Source organism: Homo sapiens, chromosome 12 (genome assembly GCF_000001405.40).
Source record: "Homo sapiens chromosome 12, GRCh38.p14 Primary Assembly".
In the NCBI taxonomy this organism is placed as follows: Eukaryota; Metazoa; Chordata; class Mammalia; order Primates; family Hominidae; genus Homo; species Homo sapiens.
The window spans coordinates 91,273,122-91,295,069 of NC_000012.12; the positions used below are offsets into that span (position 1 = coordinate 91,273,122).

At 35.7% G+C, this 21,948-nt stretch overlaps 1 long non-coding RNA gene across 1 annotated transcript in view; it reads right to left on the bottom strand.

Annotated features, from left to right (window-relative positions):
* Positions 1-3,103: 3,103 nt before the first annotated feature.
* Positions 3,104-21,948, bottom strand: part of LOC105369896 (uncharacterized) — a 361,170-nt gene continuing 342,325 nt past the window's right edge. The window contains exon 9 of the long non-coding RNA XR_001749251.2: positions 3,104-3,714. This is a non-coding gene — a long non-coding RNA (uncharacterized LOC105369896). The remainder of the gene's footprint in view (positions 3,715-21,948) is intronic.

Genomic DNA, 21,948 nt, shown 5'->3' on the forward strand with positions numbered 1-21,948 from the left:
TCTAGTCTGCCTTCTGCCCTGTTGAAAAATCACATTTGCAAATACTATCTTTAGAAAAAGTGTATTTTGTCACCTGTGTTTTCAATGGTCCCATCCATTTTATCCTTGCCATGATTTTGTCATGTTTCAGTGTAGGGCCACCAATATATGACATGGGGGAATACTTCACTGACATTGCATAGTGAGATGGGAGGAGGAGAAAAGAAAAAAAGAGTAAAAATGAAAAAATCAAATGGAAGGAACATCCTATTCATAATACTTAATATTTAAAAGAAACAGAGAGTGTGTTATAAACATGAAGAAGAGTAACACCCGGACAGCATTTGGTGTCATTTCTTTCCATGCATAAAAATGGAAAGAAGTACTCCACGGAGTATTCAAAAATATTCTTCTCTAAACTGTCTTACGAGTAGCAAGAAAGGACATCAAATAGAATTTTGTTTTTTGTTTTAAACATCACAAATCCAATGTGTACTTATTGTGAATTATTAAAAGAATTCACAAAAATATGGAAAAGTGAAATTCCTTTCACTTTTGTGCCCTCATTACTGCTCTAGAGAGGTAATCTCTGTTCAAACTTTGTTGTGTCACACACGGTTATTCCAATTGCACTTTACGGGAACTTGGAGAGGAGGCATATGAGGTAGTGGAAAAGTACCAGGAAGGAAAGTTGCGTCTCAGGTCTGCCATTCTGTGGATTTTGGAAAATCTACTAACTTCCTTGGGACTCTGATTCCTGATGTGTAATATGAAGTGGCTCCCAGGAAAGATGGAGTAGAATTTACCACCATCTGAGCGATTGCTGGAAATCCGGAGGGATATTTTGACAACTTTGTTTGTCACTGTGACTATGAGAGCCTTCTGATGCCTGTTTCCCTCAGAATGGGAATGCTACACATCTCCAAAGCACAATGAAGAATTTTCCCACTTCAAGTGTCAGGAGTACCCCTACCACAAAGCAAAACAAACAAACAAACAAAAAACCTCGAACATTGCTATGGTCTCTTCCAGCTGACAAGATCTCACAAAGTAAAGTTGTTGGTGATATTGACCAATACTAACATTTACAAAGCAAATTTTCTTTTTAAAAGAAAATTGTAAATCCCACAATTATCTAGATTAAAATGATTTTTCTTTGTGCTCTAATTCAATAGAAAAGGTAGTTTTTAAGTCTATAAATCGCTTTATTATTTTGGTGATTTCTCAGCTTGCATTTTGCTATAATTTGCATTATTAAAATATTCTGCTGTGGAACCAGTTTTGACGATTTCCCTTTCTTTTTTTCTTTTCATATTATGTACATCTTATTAGTTTCTGAATTTTTCATAGAAGTTTGCCTCTTTTATCACACAATACTAAAGAAAACACTATAATAATACATATAAAGGTACACTGTAGCCTAGAAGCTTCAAAGCTGATACTGCATCCAAGTGATTTTTAAATGATTATTTAATACTTAATTTTTTCTAAATTGCTTCACATGTTCCAGGGAGGCCCAATAGTCCAATCCTTTTCTATTAATTTTATTTCAAAAAAGCCAGGTTTGTACATTGGCCTTATGATAGTCATGATAATAATCAAAATATATAAAACTGTTTTACATTTGTACAGTATAAATGGAAAGTTATAGCTTATTTCTTCACATGCTTTCACAAATATTATTTTTTATGATCCTCCCAACAAATCCGAGAGACTGCGTAGGCCAAATAGTATTATTTTCAATTTGCAGATGAAGAAGAAAAGAACACTGCAGAGTTAACTTGGCTTCCAGAGAATCTTCTTATACCAAACTCATTTTCTTCAGGGGTTTAAAAAACACTCATGTAAACTTTATTTTTTTTTTCTTCAAATACACTTAATCTGGCAAGGTTCTTTCACACAGCAATAAATAGCATTTGCTATCTTTGAGAGAATGCCAGCTGGTCTCCTTCCTAGTCCTGAGGTAAACAGAAGGCTGCCTGCTTGTCTTGAGTCTGCTCTTGCTAATTAGAGGATTTGTGTTCTGTTTCCCTTTAAAAGGCTTCTGGAAAATGGTAGTTCCCTTTTTTCTCAACCTTCCACGCAGTTCAGTGTTAGAATCTTCTCCTTGAGTGCCCTTCTTTCTTTCATGGGCATGACAGTGAGAAAATCCCCAAGAGCTACTGAGCAAAAGCAAAAGAATATTTGGATAAGAAATTAATCCATATATGGAATGAGAGCCATGAGAAGTTTTCATTTCTATTTCAAATCTAAACTAAAGCAAAGACCCAGCAAAATCTTTTTACTTTGGAGGCTTAATGTAAATATTTTTCTAACTGGTGTTTTTAGTTGGAAATCCTGAAGATCAAATAAAGATTTTTCTTTCTCACTCACTTCTGCTGAACCCCTACTATAACTTATTTGGCCAGGGCTAAAATATTAAAGCTTGAGTTTTCACAGCCCATCGTTTCCCCATTTCAGCTAAAGAAGGTTTGGTCTCACCAACAGATTTCTGGACAATTTTATGTAAATGGATGTCACAGCAGGTCAGGGGATAGAATAATGGCAATGGGAAAAAAAATTTGTAAGATCATCATAACCAAAGGTCAAAAGAGAGTTTGGAGTAGTTTAGAAAGGAAGAGGAGAGAGATTTGGGATAGTCACTTATTTGTGGGAGATAGGTAAAACTAAAACATATAAGGAAAAGTTATGTATTAGAAGTTTTTCTATGTGTTAAGAATATATTCTTTATTTTACCCTGTGGTAATTTCAAGAGAGGCTTCATTAAAGATGCAAATTACTTTTAATTCCTTGGGTAACAGGCTGTTGCTTGTTTGAAAGTGATATTGGCACTAAACGCTAAGAAAGCTAGGTTTTATGTGTATTACATTTGAAGATTGACATTTTCTTTGTGGAAGAGTCATCGGTGTATTTATCATATCCGTAAAAACATTAACTGCCTGATTTTCGAAGTTGGATTGTTCTTTTTTGCATGACTGCTATCAAGCAAGACTAAGAAGTAAAATATGTGACAATGAAAGACAAAGACAAACCAGAAAAATAGTTATTATTTTTCCTTTTTACCTTCTGAAACTTTTCTTGGTACTGGTAATCACATGTATTTAAAAATGGAAAACTTGGAAAATAAGAACTATTCATTTATTCGAGCTAATTCAACATTTGAATATTCATTCTGTTTCCAAAATGTAGATAATACAAAGGTAAGCTGAAGCATTCTCTGCCTTTAATAAAAGAAGTTGTATAAAAATTTATTCACACACATTGTATAAAATAAAATAAGGAAAATGCCTGTCACACACACAATAATATAAGTCTGCACAGGTAAGAGAGCTCAAATAAGAAGCCCTTCTGAATTCATGTTGTTACCTTAATTTTTATTCACTGAGTACTGAAAGAGTTTGGGAAAACAAGACAAATGCCCATTTCCCTTTTACTCCATGAGAGTCATCTTTAGGTAATTAGGGTTTTTCCAAAACATAAATTATTTATTTCTTCCTACAGTCACATATGCAGACCAGAAGTCTCAAGTATCCCAGAAATGAAGTAGCTTTCAGTCATCATCATTTCTACTAAGAAAACTTCCTGGAATTTAGGAAAACTGGGTAGAAACTCTCCAAAGTCCTCTCAGCGTCATTTTTTGTCCTGTCCAGATGGATATTCTTGATGAGCATTTTTTACATCATTCCCTCAGGCAGTTTGATAAATTGTTGCTTTTATGCCTGCTATGGCCCCGTTCTGAAAAATGAAGTTAAAATGATATTTATAATTATTCCCATAATTGGAGCAAGGCCAGAGCTCTGTGTATTTCACATTTAGACTAGTTACAAAAACTTGGCATTGATTGTGTCTCCACCTCTAAATCTGAACAAATAAGATAAGTGATTAGCAGGTATGGTTTTAAAATTAAATCTTAAAGGCCAAATCACAAAAACACTTTTTGAAGCTGACAAATCACTGAGTATTTTGTAACTGATTAACTGTCAGTCATCCACAAAATCCCCTACCTTTAACTTTGACTCTGCATTTATTTTATTGCTTTAGTTGAATTGAGTCTCACCTCTGAGAACACTGCTTCCTCTGCAGCCTTCTCAAGTGGTAACTGTTTCTCCCACATCCCTCAAAACCCTAGACCAGGCTTTTTTCTCTCCCCCATCGCTCCAGCCAGTTGTCCTCTCTGCTCTTCTAGAAGCTGCTCATTTCAGGCTATATTCCCTTTCTCCTCCATGAAAATACCTTCCTTTGAATGTCATTTTATCAAAATATAAACATACAGTCAGATGTAAGGATTTCTGATATTCAATAGCACAGTAGGGTGACAAGAGTTAGCAACAACATATTGTGTGTGTGTGTGGGTGTGTGGGTGTGTGTGTGTGTGTGTGTGTGTGTATAAATACACATTTTTTTTTTTTTTTGAGATGGAGTCTCGCTCTGTCGCCCAGGCTGGGGTGCAGTGGCGTGATCTCAGCTCGCTGCAAGCTCCTCCTCCCAGGTTCACGCCATTCTCCTGCCTCAGCCTCCTGAGTAGCTAGGACTACAGGCGCCTGCCACCACGTCCGGCTATTTTTTTGTATTTTTAGTAGAGACAGGGTTTCACCGTGTTAGCCAGAATGGTCTCGATCTCCTGACCTCATGATCCACCCGCCTCGGCCTCCCAAAGTGCTGGGATTACAGGCGTGAGCCACAGCGCCCGGCAACATATTGTATATTTCAACATAGTTGGAAGAAAGGATTTAAAGTGTTCCCAACACAAAGAAATGATAAACGCTTAAGGTGATGGATATCCTAAATACCCTGACTTGATCATTATACATTCTGTGCATGTATCAAAATATGACATATACCCTATAAATATGATTTCAATATCCACATCCATACCCTTTCCAATTTTCTGACCTCTTTCTTCCCTGACATGCACTCCTCCATTCACGTTGCCCTTCACACTATCTCAGACCCTTATTATCATCATACTCACACTAGCTTCCTTGCAATTTCCCAAACACATTAAGCACAACCTCATCTCTGGGTCTTTGTACTTGCTCTGTTCTGCCCTTAGAAATGCTCTTCCTCCTCATATCTGATGGCCACAGTCTTACCACTTCAATTCTCATCTAACTCATTCAAGCTTTCCTCACATTCTTTTTCAAACAGCAACTCTTCCACCCACTTCTCCTGCCCTACTTAGTTACATTGTTTTTATACCATTCAAGACTCTCTGACATATGATTTATTTGCATATTATTCATTTCTCCACCCATATTAGACTTGAACTGCAGAAAGGCAGAGATATTTGTCTGTTTTGTTCACTGCTGTATCCTTAGTAACTGAAATATACAACATATATATGCCACATAGTAGACATATAGTAGATATCTGATGAATAAATTATTTCCCCTTTTTTGAAAAGTGTGGTATGATATATTTTCATGGTTTAAATAATTCCATATTTAAAAATTGGTCTAAAGGTGTGATAATTATAGAAATAATTCCAACCTAGACATGTGAGTGACTAAGATATTTTTTACTCAGATTCAATTGAACATGGTTTTTGCCCTTCACCATGTAAATCCTGATCTCAGATTTTAAGTAAAGTGGTACTTCAATTGTGTCAGATATATAAAATTATTTCAGCATTTTTGCCAATTTATCGTTTATAAAATAGCTAAAATTCTGTCAGTTTTTTTGTTTGTTTCCACAAACAAGTATTGTCTTCTTAAAGAAAGTAAGACTGATTATTCTTTTCCATATCATGTATTGTCTTCTTAAAGAAAATAAGACTGATTATTTCAGAAGAAAACCAAGCATATACCCCATTGTTCCTAAGACTATATTTCTTGTTGAAGTCCGTAAAATAGGATTTTGCTTTGAAGCTGTCTTCTCAAATAAACAAAAGCATGGATTCCTACATGAAGATACTCACTATAATCAAACCATCACTGTCCATGTAATCCACTGCCCCACTACATCTACATATTCTCAAAAGAGCACACAAGTACCTTTTCTCTCTTTCGGAGCACTCAGGATATGTGCATCACTACAGGGCCTGTTAATCATTGCAAACTTTCAATAAATAACAAATCCTTGCTGTGACAACTGTTGGCCAAAATGTTTAAAAAGAAAACAGCAAAGTTAGCCAAAAAAAAAAAAAAAACTTTCATGTCAAATTTCTTAATTACTGCTTGTATACCTTGACTGTGAGTCAGATGTGGCTTAAAACTAATAAGAACTTGGTTAATACTCTAGAATCCCCTTCATAGCTCAATAATAAATTTTTGGCAAAAGCAAAACATATTTCCCTCAATCACTCTAAGTATTATATAAAGATAACCACTACACCAATAATAATATTTATTTTTAATTAGTTTACACTATGTACCAAAAACAATGTTATTTATATACTGCCATAATGCTAATCTTCATTGGAGTACTATGAAAAAACACTTTCAGAAGAATGTAAGATCTAAGCTGAGATACATGGTTTAGTAGAAAACAGTTCAATCACTTGTTTGAACTTTGGGAAGGGAGGAAAGATCCAGGCAAAAGGAATAGCATTTTAAAAGCCTAGTAGTCAGAGATAATATAACAAATAATACAGATTATTTCCTATGCAATTAATGCATACAGTTTTCCAGGGCTCGAGTGTAGGCTATAGTGCAAGAATGTGTTGGAGTGGATGTGGACCAATGGCCAGACGAGAACTACAAACTTAGTCAAAGGGTAAATCATGTGTACCTCTTAGTCAAGAGGCAAATCATGTGTAATCATGGTAAAGCATGTTCATGCATGTGTAAGCTACAGATAATTAAAGACTTTGGATTTTATCTAGGAAATCTGGTAATTGTTGACCTCTGTATTTGTTTTTATGTTTTCTTTTTCTACCCCGCCTTTTGTTTCTCTTCTTGTTCTCTCCTCTGCTTTTTGGCTCTTCCTTTTTTCCCCTTATGTCTTCTTCCCCTCACTCCTATATTTCATTTAAGCACAAGAAGTGTTATTAATAGATTCAAGAAATCATTATTGGACATCTACCTCATGTAAGCCACTCTGCTAGATACTGAGGAAGTTTATTCAGCAAGACAGACCTGATTCCATCCCTCATAAAACTTACAGTCTGGTGGACAAGACTGGCATATTCAGAGAACTGAAATAAACACAGTGTTACTTGGAGTTCAAAGTAGGGAAATGCCATGAGATGAGCCAGAGAAGAAAGAAGGAACAGGTCAGAGGGTGTGTTGCAAATTAGATAAGGAATTTTGGGTTTTATGCTAAGAGCAACGGGAGGACGTTAAAGTACTTTTCAAATTTCCTCTCCTCTTATTCATCCTCTTCATTATGGTTTCCATTCGTTTATGTCACTGAAATCATTTTTAATATGGTTTCAAAAACCTTAATAACACTCAAACTACTGGACATTTTCTACTCTTGACTATGCAGCATCATTAAATTGCCTCTTTCCAGAACACTCTATTCTGTTGACTTTCATGACACTAGATTCTCTTGCCACCTCTGTGGCCACATTTTCCTTGTCTTTTTTTGCCAATTTGGCTTGCACTTTTCTGCTTAGACTTTAAATGTTGCAACTAGTCATGGTTGAATCCTAGGCCCTCTCCTCTTCTCACTCTATACAATATTCCCATGCTATCTTATCCAGAATCATGCTTCTTTTACTTGTAGCTCCATTCCAGACAACTTTTCTGAATTTCAGTCTCAAATCTCACTGCATATGGTAGATCTCTATTATAATTTTACACAAACACTTCAAACTCAACATGCCTATCCGTAGAAAAGGAAGAGAAGAGGAGGATCAGGCTGGGGGTAGGTAGATATGTGTGATTGTGGGTGAATTGCCACTTTGAGCTAGATACAAGGTTTGATATCATATATTTTCTACTATTGATCCTTTTGAATTGAGAAAAGAAAAGAGATGTGGCTGACTGCATTTGAGTACTAAGAGAGAAAACAAAATAAATGAAAAGTAAACAAAAAGTTTTTAAATAAACAGACTATTTAAAACAAGACGTAGGGTAGCAAAATGATCAAGCTATCTAACTTAATATTTCACTAGTTCCATCCATTTAATGATCAATGGAGAAATTAATTTACAAACTTAAAAATGAGATTTTAAGTTTATACTACATTAAAAATAAATTTTAAGATTTGGAGAAAGTAGCTGATTTCCTAAAAATGTAATATACTATTTTTAATTCAGGTAGAAAAAAACTTGAATAAATCAATGACCATAGAAGAGGCCAAAGAAGGAATTAAAAAACAACTTTTTTTGAAAGAGTCACCTGTTGGTCCAGTTGGTTTTACATCTTATTTCTTTCTTTTTTTTTTTTTTTTTTCAGATGGAGTCTCACTCTGTCTCCCAGGCTGGAGTGCAGGAGTGCAGTGGCACCATCTCGGCTCACTGCAAGCTCCACCTCCCGGGTTCACACCATTCTCCTGCCTCAACCTCCAGAGTAGCTGGGACTACCGTCGCCCGCCACCGTGCCCGGCTAATTTTTTTTTTTGTATTTTTAGTAGAGATGGGGTTTCACTGTGTTAGCCAGGATGGTCTCGATCTCCTGACCTCGTGATCTGCCCGCCTCGGCCTCCCAAAGTGCTGGGATTACAGGCATAAGCCACTGCCCCCAGCCTACATCTTATTTCTTAATAACTATATTAGTCTGCTCAGGCTTCCATAGCACAGGACCACAAATTAGGTAGCTTAAACAACAGAAATTTATCTGTTAAAGATAAGACCAAGATCCTATCAAGTTTGGATTTTAGAGAAGCCTCCCTTCCTGGCTTGCACATGGCCACCTTCTCGCTGTGTCTTCAATGGCCTCTGCTCTATGCATGTGTAGTGAAACATCTCTGATGTATCTTCCTCTTCTTAGGAGGACACCAGTCCTATTGGATTAGGACCCCATCCTCATAACCTCATTTAATCTTAATTATCTCACCAAAGAGCCTTTCTTCAAATACACTCACATTGGGGGTTATGAAATAAACACAAAAATTTGGGAGGAAATAAATCAATCTGTAACAATTGCCTTTATAAACTAGGTAATCCCTGTTACTTACACTACTATCAGCCACAAAAGAAAAAGGAAAAAGAGAAGGAACATCTCTATCAAATAACAGAAAAGAACGGTTCCCAACTTCTTTCATGAGGCCAGCATAAACTTAATAGCAAAACCTAACAGAGTCATTAAAGTAAAATGATAGTACAAACCAATCTTATGCATAACTGTCAAAGCAAAATTCCACTCCAACAAAAACAGCAAACTGCATTCAGCAATACATTAAAAACATATACTCAAAACACTGCAAGATTAGTTAACATTTAAAAATGTGTAATAATTCAATTCATTGAAAATAAAAAATATCAACAGGTCAATAGATGGAATAAAAACATATGAAAAATTTCAGCATGGATTTATGATTTTAAAACTCAGCAAACTATAAATAGAAGGAAATTTCTTACTCTGATAGTGATTATGTTAGTTGATGGAGAAATGTTGAAAGCTTTTCCTTTGAAATTGGAACAAAAGGACAATAATTATTTAACATTGTTTTGGAGATCTTGGCAAATGCAAAGGGCAAGTAAGTGAAACAAAAGGGATAGTCACCAGAAATAAAGAAATAAAATGTTCATTATTCGTGGAGAACTTGATTATGTTGTAGAAAATCCAAAATAGTTTACTGAGAATGATGATTTCCAATTTCATCCATGTCCCTACAAAGGACATGAACTCATCATTTTTATGGCTGCATAGTATTCCATGGTGTATATGTGCCACATTTTCTTAATACAGTCTATCATTGTTGGACATTTGGGTTGGTTCCAAGTCTTTGCTATTGTGAATAGTGCTGCAATAAACATACGTGTGCATGTGTCTTTATAGCAGCATGATTTATAGTCCTTTGGGTATATACCCAGTAATGGGATGGCTGGGTCAAATATTTCTAGTTCTAGATCCCTGAGGAATCACCACACTGACTTCCACAATGGTTGAACTAGTTTACAGTCCCACCAACATTGTGCACATGTACCCTAAAACTTAAAGTATAATAATAATAAAAAAAAAGAAAATCCAAAATAATCTAAAGAAAAACTATCAGAATTACTAAAAAAATTTGGCAAGGTCACCAGATACATCAATATGTAAAAAAAATCCATTGTATTTTTTAGTCTAGCAACAAACAAATGGAAAAAAATTAATAAGATTTTCAATAGTATAAAAAAGAAATAAATCTTTAGAAAAGTGCAACATCTGTGAAAGAAACCAAAAAATAGTACTGACAGAAATGAAAGAAGTCCTAATAACATAGAGGGATACAGAAGACTTAATGTTGTTATAATGTCAGTCCCTGAAATTGATTCATAGATCCCATTCAATCCCAATAAAATTCTTAACCAGTTTTCTTTTCTAAGGTAGATAAGCAATTTTCATGACTTTTATATGGAATATAAAGGGCCGAGACACCCAAAACAAGCTTGTAAAGAAGAACCAAGTTAGAGAACATGAACTATGTAGTAAGTCTTATTATAAAGCTACTCTAATTAAGAGTTGCAATATTAGAGCAAAAATAGACAAATCAACAGATGAAACAGAATGAAGAATACAGAAATAAACCTACACATTTATTATTATTCGTTTAACAAATGTAGCACATATACACATATACAGATACATAAATAAACATATATATCCATATATAGATACAGCTAGATATTTCTGTGTGTCTATATATGTGTGTGTGTGTGTATATATATATATATATATATATATATATATATACATAGAGAGAGAATGCTATAAATATGTAGATATAGATATATCTGTCTCCTATTGGTTCCATTTCACTAGAGAACCCAGACTAATACATTTATGATCCCATTTATATTAAATTTAATATTATAAAAATTCTTCCTACAGGGTTATAAGTCAGTTAATTAAATGAGACGAGCCCAGCATATGTTCAGGTCATGTTTTTCTCACCTAGAATTAATTTTTGCATTGCTCTCTTTGTGATAATTAATCAAGATGTATACTTATGATTCATGACTTTACCATATGCAGGTTTACTTCAACAAGAAATATTTTCAAATATATAACTCTTGGAAATAAATAATCAAAACTGATTTTATTTATGTATTATGCTGTCTGGTGTATACAAAATCTAAAAAATCTATAGATAATATATACAAATAGTTTGTGGAGTTTGTTGGTTACAAGATCAATATATAAGAATTTTTTTTTCTAAAAATAAATATTTGCCTGGGCATGGTGGCTCAGGCCTGTAACCCCAGCACTTTGTGAGGCCAAGGAGGGTAGATCACTTCAGGTCAGGAATTTGAGACCAGTCTGGCCAACATGGTGAAACCCCATGTCTACAAAAAATACAAAAAACTAGCCAGGTATGGTGGGGTGCACCCGTAATTCCAGGTCCTAGGGAGGCTGAGGTGGGAGAATTGCTTGAACCTGGGAGGCAAAGGTTTCAGTGAGCCTAGATTGTGCCACTGCACTCCAACCTGGGCAACAGGGTGAACCCTGTTTCAAAAAAAAAAAATCAGTCATAATAACACAAAAATATCAAATATATCTAGGAAAATGCAACAAAGATGATCATGACTTCTTCACAGAAAAATATAGCATTATTGAAATAAACTAAAGAAGACCAAAATAAATAGAGGGATAAATTATACTTATACATTGGAAAACTCAGTATTTTTAAGATTTCGATTTTTCTCAAACCAATCTATAAAAGCAATGTTATTCAAATAAAAATGCCAATGAGTTTGTGTGTGTATGTGAATGTGTGTATATGTGTGATTTGAAAAGCCAGTTCTAACATATATGTGGACGTGAAAAAGGGCAAGAATGGTCGTGACACTCTTAAAGTGGAACAAGGTGTGAAAATTTACTCTGTTAGATCAAAAGTTTGTATTAAAGCCTCATAATAAAGACAATGTGATACTCTTGCAAGGATAGACCGACATGCTGACAAAACCAATGGAATAGAGAGTCCAGAAAACTAAATATTCTTCTATAGATATTTGGTTTATAACGAGATGACACTGAGAAGTAGAAAAACAACTATCTTTTCTTTAAGGGGTAATTGTCAAATGTGTATCCACTTGATCCCTAACAAATACCATACTACCAGTCCTAGATGGTTTGAAGATTTAAAAGTGAAAGTAAATTAATAAAGTTTCTCAAAGGTACTATAGGAGAAAATTCATCAGTTTAGAGTAAGAAAAGATACTTCCAAGAGAACACAAAACGCGTAGTAATTATTTTTTAAAAGAATTGATAAAATTGACTACATAAAATTAAGAATTAATTTTCATCAAGAGACAGAAAATAGAAAGGCAAGCCATGGGGTGGGAGAATGGATTTGAAAAATATGTAATCAATAAAAGAGTTCTTTTTATAATATACAAAGAATTTCTAGAAATCAGTAAGAAAACACAATTGAATGGACAAAAGTGCAAATGAACTTCAGCAGTCCCCTCAAAAAAGAAGTTCGTGTCCTTTGTAGGGACATGGATGAAATTGGAAATCATCATTCTCAGTAAACTATCGCAAGAACAAAAAACCAAACACCGCATATTCTCACTCATAGGTGGGAATTGAACAATGAGATCACATGGACACAGGAAGGGGAACATCACACTCTGGGGACTGTTGTGGAGTGTGGGGAGGGGGGAGGGATAGCATTGGGAGATATACCTAATGCTAGATGACAAGTTAGTGGGTGCAGCACACCAGCATGGCACATGTATACGTATGTAACTAACCTGCACAATGTGCACATGTACCCTAAAACTTAAAGTATAATAAAAAAAAGAAGATATCTAAATGGCAAAAAGGAAAAAAGAAAGAAAGAAAGAAACTCACCTAACATACAAACCAAATAGATATGAAAAGGTACTCAACCTCATCAGTAAACCAAAAAGTTCCCATTAAAACCTCAATTAGACTTGAGGAGTCTGGGAAGATGGTGAAGTAGGAAGCATGATAATTCAGCCTCCCCACCTAGACAACAATTACACTGGCAGAATCTGTCTGATATAATTATTTTGGAATTATAGAGTCTATTGAAGGCTTGCAACATCCAAGGGAAGGCTTGCTTGGTAAACTGCAATTAATTTTGCTTAATTTCCGAAGACATAAATAGGTTTAAAATGAAAGTATGGAAAAAAAAATTCTGTGCAAATAGTAACCAGAAGAGAGCAAGTGTGGCTAGACTAACATCAGACAAAACAGACTTTAAATAAAATAGCTTATAAGAGATAAAAAGGACATTATAAATTAATAAGAGATTTAAGACAGCAAGAAGACAATTATAAACATTAACACACTAATAACAGACTGTAAAATATATAAAGCAAAAATTGACGGAACTGAAAGAAGGAAATAGTTCTACAGTAATATTTGGAAACTTCAGTGCCTCACTCTCAATAATGGATAAAATGACCAGACAAAAAACAAGTAAGAAAATAGAGGACTTGTATAACACAATAAACCAACTAGATCTCACAGATATATATAGAATATACTAATTAAGAACAACAGAATACACATTCTTCTCAATTGCACAGGGTAATTTTCCAGGATACAGCATATATTAGGTCACAAATTACATCTCAATAGATTTAGAAAGATAGATATCATACAAAGTATGTTCTACAAATACAAGATAGTTAGAAATAAATAACACAAAGAAACTGGAAGATTAACAAATTCACAAAAATTGAAAAATGCACTCTTAAAATTAAATAACCAGTGTATCAAAGAAGAAATCAGAAAAGAAATTAAAAAGTATGGTTAACAGTAGAATATTGTATCTTACAAAATAGCTAGAAGAGAGGTTTTTGAATGCTGCTGCCACAAAGAAGTAACACATGCATGAGGTGATGGGTACATTACCCTGAATGGATCATTATACAACATATATATGTATTGAAACATAAAATTGTACCCCAGTAGTAAATATAATTGCAAAGTGTCAATTGTTTAAAATTAATTTAAAAAGAGATGCATCTAATTTCATAAAATGACAAAAACTACCAAAATTTATGAGATATAGCAAAAGCAGTCCTAAAAAGCACATTTATAGCTATAAACATTTACATTAAAAAATAAAGAGGCAGGTGGATCACTTCAGCTCAGGAGTTTGAGACCAACATGGACAACATGGCAAAACTCTGTCTCTACCAAAAATACAAAAAAATTCGCCAGGCCTGGTGGTGTAATCATGCCTGTAGTCCCAGCTATTTCGGAGGCTGAGATAAAAAGGATTGCTTGAGCCTGGGAGGTGGAGGTTGCAGTGCGCTGAGATCACTCCACTACACTCCAGCCTGGGTGACAAAACAGAAAACAAAAAAAATAAGAAAGATCTCAAATGAACAAACTAAGTTGACAACTTAAGGTACTATAAAAAAAGGAGAAACTAAACCCAAAGCTAGCAGAAGGAGGGAAATAATAAAGATTATAGCAGAAATAAATAAAATGGAGAATAGAAAAACATTGGATAAAATGAATGAAGCCAAAAGTCAGCTCTTCAAAAGAGTTAACAAAAATTGGCTAAGCTTTAACTAGATTAACTAAGGAAAAAAATACGAATCTCAGAAATATAAGAGATTATAAGAGAGTACTATTAACAGTTATATGCCAACAAATTGGATAACCTAGATAAAATAAACAACTTCCTAGAAACACCCGGTCAACGTAATACACCATATCAGCAGAATGAAGGAAAATAAACCACATGATCATCTGATATATGATAATGTTTTGTGATCCCAAATTTCTCAAAATGGAGTCACTTATGATAAGTGACTCAGCCTAAAGTGAAATTACTGACCCCTCAAAGTGATGTGCACATGTATGGTAGACTGAGGTTCTAAGATAACATCTGCTGTGGACAGACACCCCCAAGGCTTGACAAGAAAGCAAGGCAACTGAGATCATGGCTATGGACATTCCTGCAGAGGGTCATAAAAGCTTCACATAAATTGACCACGGCCTAGATGCCTGCAGAAGCTCTTGGTGGGGGGAGAACTGTGAAGCCTCTTTTCTATGGGCAGTGGCTGCTGGAAGTTCTGCTGAGCACTTGCCTCCCTACATCTCCAAGCTACTCCCTGTGATTGGTTCTCCCTCTCTCTTATTACTGCCTATGTGTGTTAAATAATGTATGTACACCTATATATTTGTATGTATGTTGTATACCAATAATGCCTATGTATAATTTGCATGTTTGTTGGCTTCTGACAGCCTCAGAATAAACCATGAATTCAAAAGCATTTAATTGGCCATGGAGTCATTATAAAACCTCTGGCCCTGTGGTCAGAATTAGCACAGCTAGGCTGATTTGAACCTGACAAACTATCATCTCATTTGATGCAAAAAAGAAAGAAAGCTGACAAAATTTAACACGCTCTCCTAATAAAAACGTGCAACAAAATAGGAATATGACAAAACTACCTCAATATATTAAAAATTATATGTAAAAACCCACAGCAAACATGATGAAAGTTTGAAAAGTTTTCCTTTAAAATCAGAGACAAGGAAGAATGCCTGCTTTCCCCACTTCTATTCATAGGAAGTCCAACCCAAAGCTACTAGATTCATGCAATACATGAATTTAAACACACAATGTTGACCCAGGCAGCTAAACACAAATAATAAACATTTTATTATTCATTCTATAAGTTGTTTAACAAAAGAAAAAAATACATAAAAAGCAAATATAGAGAAAGAGTTTGAAGTTGCGAAAGTGGCTACTTTGGGGAAGGATGGAGAGGTTGGAGGTGGCATGGGTTTTTGGTGGCGGGCGGCTTTTTACAGTGCTGGCAATGGTCAATTTTCTAAACTAAAAAGTGGTTACTTGGGTGTATATTTGGTGCTAATTCATTGAGGTGTATATTTACATTTTCTAACACTTCTTTAGGGGTACTCTACTGCTAAATTAAAAAGAAAATATTCTACCTGCAAAAAAAATTACAAACATCTAGTGACAAAATTGGTAACACAGGTAAACTGCCTATATGAAATGAACTATAAAACAAAGTCCAAATATGTTGAGAGATGACCTAAGTTTCAGAATATATAAAGGCATCCTACAAATGATGAAAAACAACTAAAAAGGAAAAAACATTCATAAAAAGTGGCCAAAAAGATGAATCAGCAATTCAAAAGAGAAACAATAAAATGGATAGAAACGTTTATTTAAAAGCTGTCACCCACACTCCAAAGTCACAAAACTCAGGAAAAAGCAAGTTAAAACAACAGAAACATATTTTATTATTCATATTTGGAAAATTTTATAAAATACCTATAATATTCAGATCTAGTTACATGAGAAACTTTTTTTAACCACATTGGTCATGGGAGAATGTATAGCTAAAACTTATTTTAAAATAATCTGGCATTATCTAGTATAATTAAAGTTCCATAAGCCTTTTATTTGACTGTACTGAAATGACAGCACTATATATAAAAATACACATACAAGATTTTTGTTTGTTTGCACCATTGCTTATAATGACAAGAATTGGGAACAATCTGAGAGTCCATTATTAATGGAATATTTTTTGTCTATTCATCTGAAAGGCTGTCCATAATACATTACAAAATGAGAATAAAAAATTGCAAAAAGAAACCATGGTAGTATATTGGTTCTGTAAAAAAACATTGCCACACAGTCCCATTTATCTATATAATAGTTTGTAAAAGACACAAATCTGTTATTCTCAGGCATATTGGAGTGGAGGAGGCTGGGAGTCAGCTGGAGATATTTTTTAAAACTTGTTTTCTTCCTCTTCATTTGTTACAATGAGCAAGTGTTTACATTTCTTAAAACTAAGACTATTTAACAAGAAAAATGTTTACTTCATGGATCAAATAGATGGCACTTTTCTTTCTTTTCCATGTAACCTCATTCTTTCAGCTTCACTGATTTAGAGCTCCTGATACCAGTTGTTTCCTGTCGACTTCATTAACTTCCCTTGAAACCGATCTAACCATGCCAGCTTTTCTTTTATTATAATAGGTATTTACATCCTACAACTATTTAAGACATGTTAAGATGGCTCTGCAGCCCATGTTTAAAAGGGAATTCTGGTAAATCCTTTCCACTTACAACACTTTTATCCGCTAATTTGCTGTAGTTCATTGCTCTACTTTTGTTTACTTAAATATTTAATCTAGGTTCTTTATACTTTGCCAGCACCCAAAGGCACACTTTTCTCTTGGTGCATTCCAGTTTCCATAGTACTATTTGCTGGCTTGATTCTTTAAGAGACAGTCCTTTTATTGAATTACAAAAATTCTAGATTTAACCCAAGATAAATGTTGAATATTGCTTGGGGTCCTGGAAAACATTAGATGCTCTGTAAAAGAGTGGCCCTACCTCCAAGTTAAAAGCAGCCTGTTTGAACTTTCAAATACACATTCCACTTCAGTGTACTCTGTCACCATAAGATTTCTGTACCCTGGGCTCACCTTGACAACCTAAATCCTATGCTTACTGGATCAGCTGCTTTCCTCTGGGAATTCAAGTAGAATACAGGCTCTGAGATCACCCATTTTTCTCTTTCTGAAAGCAGTATTATTATTTCCTTTCTATTTTTTCTTTCCAACTTTTATTTTAGGTTAAAGGGGTACATGTACAGGTTTGTTAGGTGGATAAATTTTATGTCATGGGTGTTTGATGTACATATAATTTTGTCACCCAGGTAGTCGGCATAATACCCAATATGTAGTTTTTAAATCCTAACCCTCCTTCCACCCTCCACCTTCAAATAGGCCCCAGTTTCTATTGTACCCTTCTTTGTGTCCCTGTGTACTCACTGTTTAGCTCCCACTTATAAGTAAGAACATGCACTATTTGGTTTTCTGTTCCTGTATTAATTCACTTTGGATTATGGCCTCCAGCTCCATCCATGTTGCTGCAAAGGTCATAATCTCGTTTTTTTAATACCCACGTCATATTCCATGGTGTATATATACCACATTTTCTTTATCCAGTCCACCATTAATGGGCATCTAGGTCAATTCCATGTCTTTGCTATTGTGAATAGTGTTTCAGTGAAGATACTTGTGAATGTGTCTTTATCGTAGAACGATTTATATTCCTTTGAGTATATACCCAGTAAGAGAATTGCTGGGTTGAATGGCAGTTCTATTTTAAGTCCTTTGAGAAATCTCCAGACTGCATTCCACAGCAGCTAAACTAGTTTGCATTCCCACCGGCAGTGTATACATTTTCCTTTTCCTACACCACCTCACCAGCATCTGTTATTTTTTGACTTTTTAATAACAGCCATTCTGACTGGTGAGACATGGTATCTCATTGTGGTTTTGATTTGCATTTCCCTAATGATTAGTGATAGTGAACATGTTTTCATATGCTGTTGGCCATATTTATGTCATCTTTTGAGAAGTGGCTGTTCATGTCCTTTACCCATTTCTTAATGGAGTTGTTCATTTTTTGTTAATCTGTTTCAGTTCCTTAAGATTCTAGATATTAGACTTTTGTCAGATGCATAGTTTTCAAATATTTTCTCACATTCTGTATGCTGTTTTGCTCCTTTGATAGTTTGTTTGGCTGTGCATAGCTCTTTAGTTTAATTAGGTCCCACTTGTCAATTTTGGTTTTGTTTGCAATTGCTTTTGGCATCTTCATTATGAAATCTTTGCCAGTTCCTATGTCCGGAATGGTATTTCCTGGTTTCATTCTAGGGTCTTTGTAGTTTTAGGTTTTACATTTAACTCTTTTATCCACCTTGAGTTGATTTTTGTATATGGCAAAAGGTAGGGGTCCAGTTTCCATCTTCTACAAATGGCTAACCAGCTATCCCAGCACCAGTTATTGAATGGGGATTCCTTTCCCTGTTGCTTGCTTTTGTAAGCATTGTTGAAGATCAGATGGTTTTATTTGTCAAAGATCAACAGCTGTATTTCCAGATTCTCTAACATGTTCCATTGGTCTATGTGTCGGTTAGTGTCGTCCTGTAGTATAGTTTGAAGTTGGGTACTGTGATGCCTCCAGCTTTGATCTTTTTACTTAGCATTTCTTTGGCTATTTGGGCTCTTCTTTGGTTCCAAATAAGTTTTATATATTTTTTCTAATTCCGTGAAAATGTCATTGGTAGTTTGATAGGAATAGCATTGAATCTGTAAATTGCTTTGGGCACTTTAGCCATTTTAACAATACTGGTTCTTGCTACCCATAAGCATGGAATGTTTTTGCCTTTGTGTTGTCTCTAATTTCTTGGAGTAGTGTTTTGTAATTCTCATTGTAGAGGTCTTTCACCTCCCTGGTTAGCTGTATCCATAAATATTTTTTTGTTTGTGGGTTTTGTGAATGGGATTGCATTCTTGATTTGGCTGTCAACTTGGATGTTATTTGTGTTAGAAATGCTACTGATTTTTGTACATTGATTTTGTATCCTGAAACTTAGCTAAAGTTGTTTATTAGATCTAGGAGTCTTTGGGTAGAGACTATGGGATTTTTTTTAAGGTATAGTATCATATCATCTGTGAAGACAAATAGTTTTACTTCCTCTCCTCCTATTTGAATGCCTTTTATTTTCTTCTCTTGCCTGATACTCTGGCTAGTGCTTCCAGTACTATGCTGAATACGTATGGTGACAGTGGACTTCCTAGTCATGTTCTGGTTCTCGAGAAAAATGCTTTCACCTTTTGACCATTAACTATGATGCTGGCTGTGGGTTTGTCAGAGATAGCTCTTACTATTTTGAGGTATATGCTTTCAATGGCTAGTTTGTTGAGGGTTTTTAACATGAAGCAATGTTAAATGTTATCAAAAGCATTTTCTGCATCTATTGAGATTATCATGTGGTTTTTGTTTCTAGGTCTGTTTATGGGATGAGCTACATTTATTGATTTTTGTACACTGAAATAACCTCACACCCAAGGAATAAAGTCTACTTAATCAAGGTGGATTGACTTTTTGATGAACTGCTTGATTTGGTTTGCTAGTGTTTTACTGAGGCTTTTTGCATCTATGTTAATCAGGAATATTGGTCTGAAGTTTTCTTTCTCATTGTTTCTGTGCCAGATTTTGGTATCACAATGATGCTGGCTTCATAGAATGAGTTAGAGAGGACGCCCTCCTCTTCAATTTTTTGGAGTAGTTTCAGTAGGATTGGTACCAGCTCTTTTTTATACATCTGGTAGAATTTGTCTGTGAATCCATCTGGTCCAGGGTTGTTTTCTTTTTTAATTAGTAGGTTTTTAATTACTGATTCAATATCAGGACTCATTATTCATCTGTTCTTATATTCAGTTTCTTCCTGGTTCAATCTCAAAAGGTGAAATATTTCCAAGAATTTATCCATTTCATTTAAGTTTTCTAGTTTGTGGGCATAGAGGTGTTGGCAACAGTCTCTGAGTGTTTTTTCTATTTCTTTGGGGTCAGTGATTATGTCTTTTGTCATTTCTGATTGTGTTTATTTGGATCTTCCCCCTTTTTTCTTTATTAGTATAGCTAATGGTCTATCAATCTTTTTTTTTCTTTCAAAGAACCAACTTTTGGTTTCACTGATCTTTTGTACGGTTTTTCTTATCTCCGTTTCATTAAGTTCAGATCTGATTTGGTTGTTTCTTTTCTTCTGCTACCTTTGATGTTGGTTTGCTCTTGTTTTGAAGTTCCTTGAGGTATGATGGTCACTAATCTGAAATTTTTCTAACTTTTTGATGTGGGTGTTTACCACTATAAACTTTTCTCTTGGGGGAAAGGCCAAGATGGCTGAGTAGAAACAGCTCTGGTCTGCAGCTCCCACTGAGAAGAATGAAAATCGTGAGTGACTTCTGCATTTTCAACTGATGTACCCAGGTTCTCTCATTGAGACTGATTAGATGGTTGGCGCGACCCATGGAGAGTGAGAAAAAGCAGGGTGGAGTGACACCCCACCTGGGAGCTGCAGGAGACAAAAAGATCTCCCTCCCCCAGCCAAGGGAGGCAGTGAGTGATTGTGTGCTACCCCACCGGGGAAACCATGATTTTCCCACAGATCTTTGTAACCCATGGATCAGGAGATCTCCCTGTAAGCCCACAATACTAGGGCCTTGGGTCCCAAGCACAGAGATGTGCAGACTCACAGCAGCCACTCAGGTCAGTGGCAAATCTGGCAGGCACTGAGAATGCAGGGATTTTTGTAGACTTTAGCTCCAGGAACTCCAGTGAGACCACAGAGCTGTCCACTCCTGTAGGAAGGGGGCTGAAGACAGGGAGCCAAGCTGCCTCACTCAGTTGGCCCCACTCCAATAAAAGCCCTCAAGCTAAGACCCACTAGCTTGGAATCCCCACTGGCCAGTGCAGCAGGCTGTAGACTGCTTAAGACAACCGAGTTTCTGTTGGGAGGGAAAGCCACCATCACTGTGGCTCCATTTAGCCATTTTCCAATGCTGGTGCCAGCTATACTGGGTGGTTTCGTCTGGGAGGAATTCCACACAGTGCAGCACAGTGACTATGACAGATCATGTCCAGACTGCCTCTTTAAGTAGGACCCCAGCCTATCCTCTCTCATCGGGCAGGGCCTCCCTGCAGGAATTTCAGCATCTCCAGCCAGGGGTTTAAGGACAGAACTCTGATCTCCTTGGGATAAGCCCCTAAGGGAAGGGGCAGCCAAGGTATCTGGGAATTAGCAGTCTTAGTCTTCTCTTCCTGCTAGCTCCAGAGAGTCAGGGCAGTCCAAAAGAGGAGGATTCCCCCCAATTCAGCATACCTGCTTTGCCAAGGGGCAGCCAGACTACTTATTTAAGTGGGTCTCTGATCCCATTCCTTCTGACTGGATGAGACTTCCCATTAAGGGTCTCCAGGCATGTTATACAGGAGTATTCCTGCTGGCATCAGGTTGGTGCCCCTCTGGGATGATGGAGCTCCCAGAGGAAGGAGCAGACAGCCATCTTTGCTGTTCTGCAGCATCCAGTGGTGATACCTCCAGGTGCA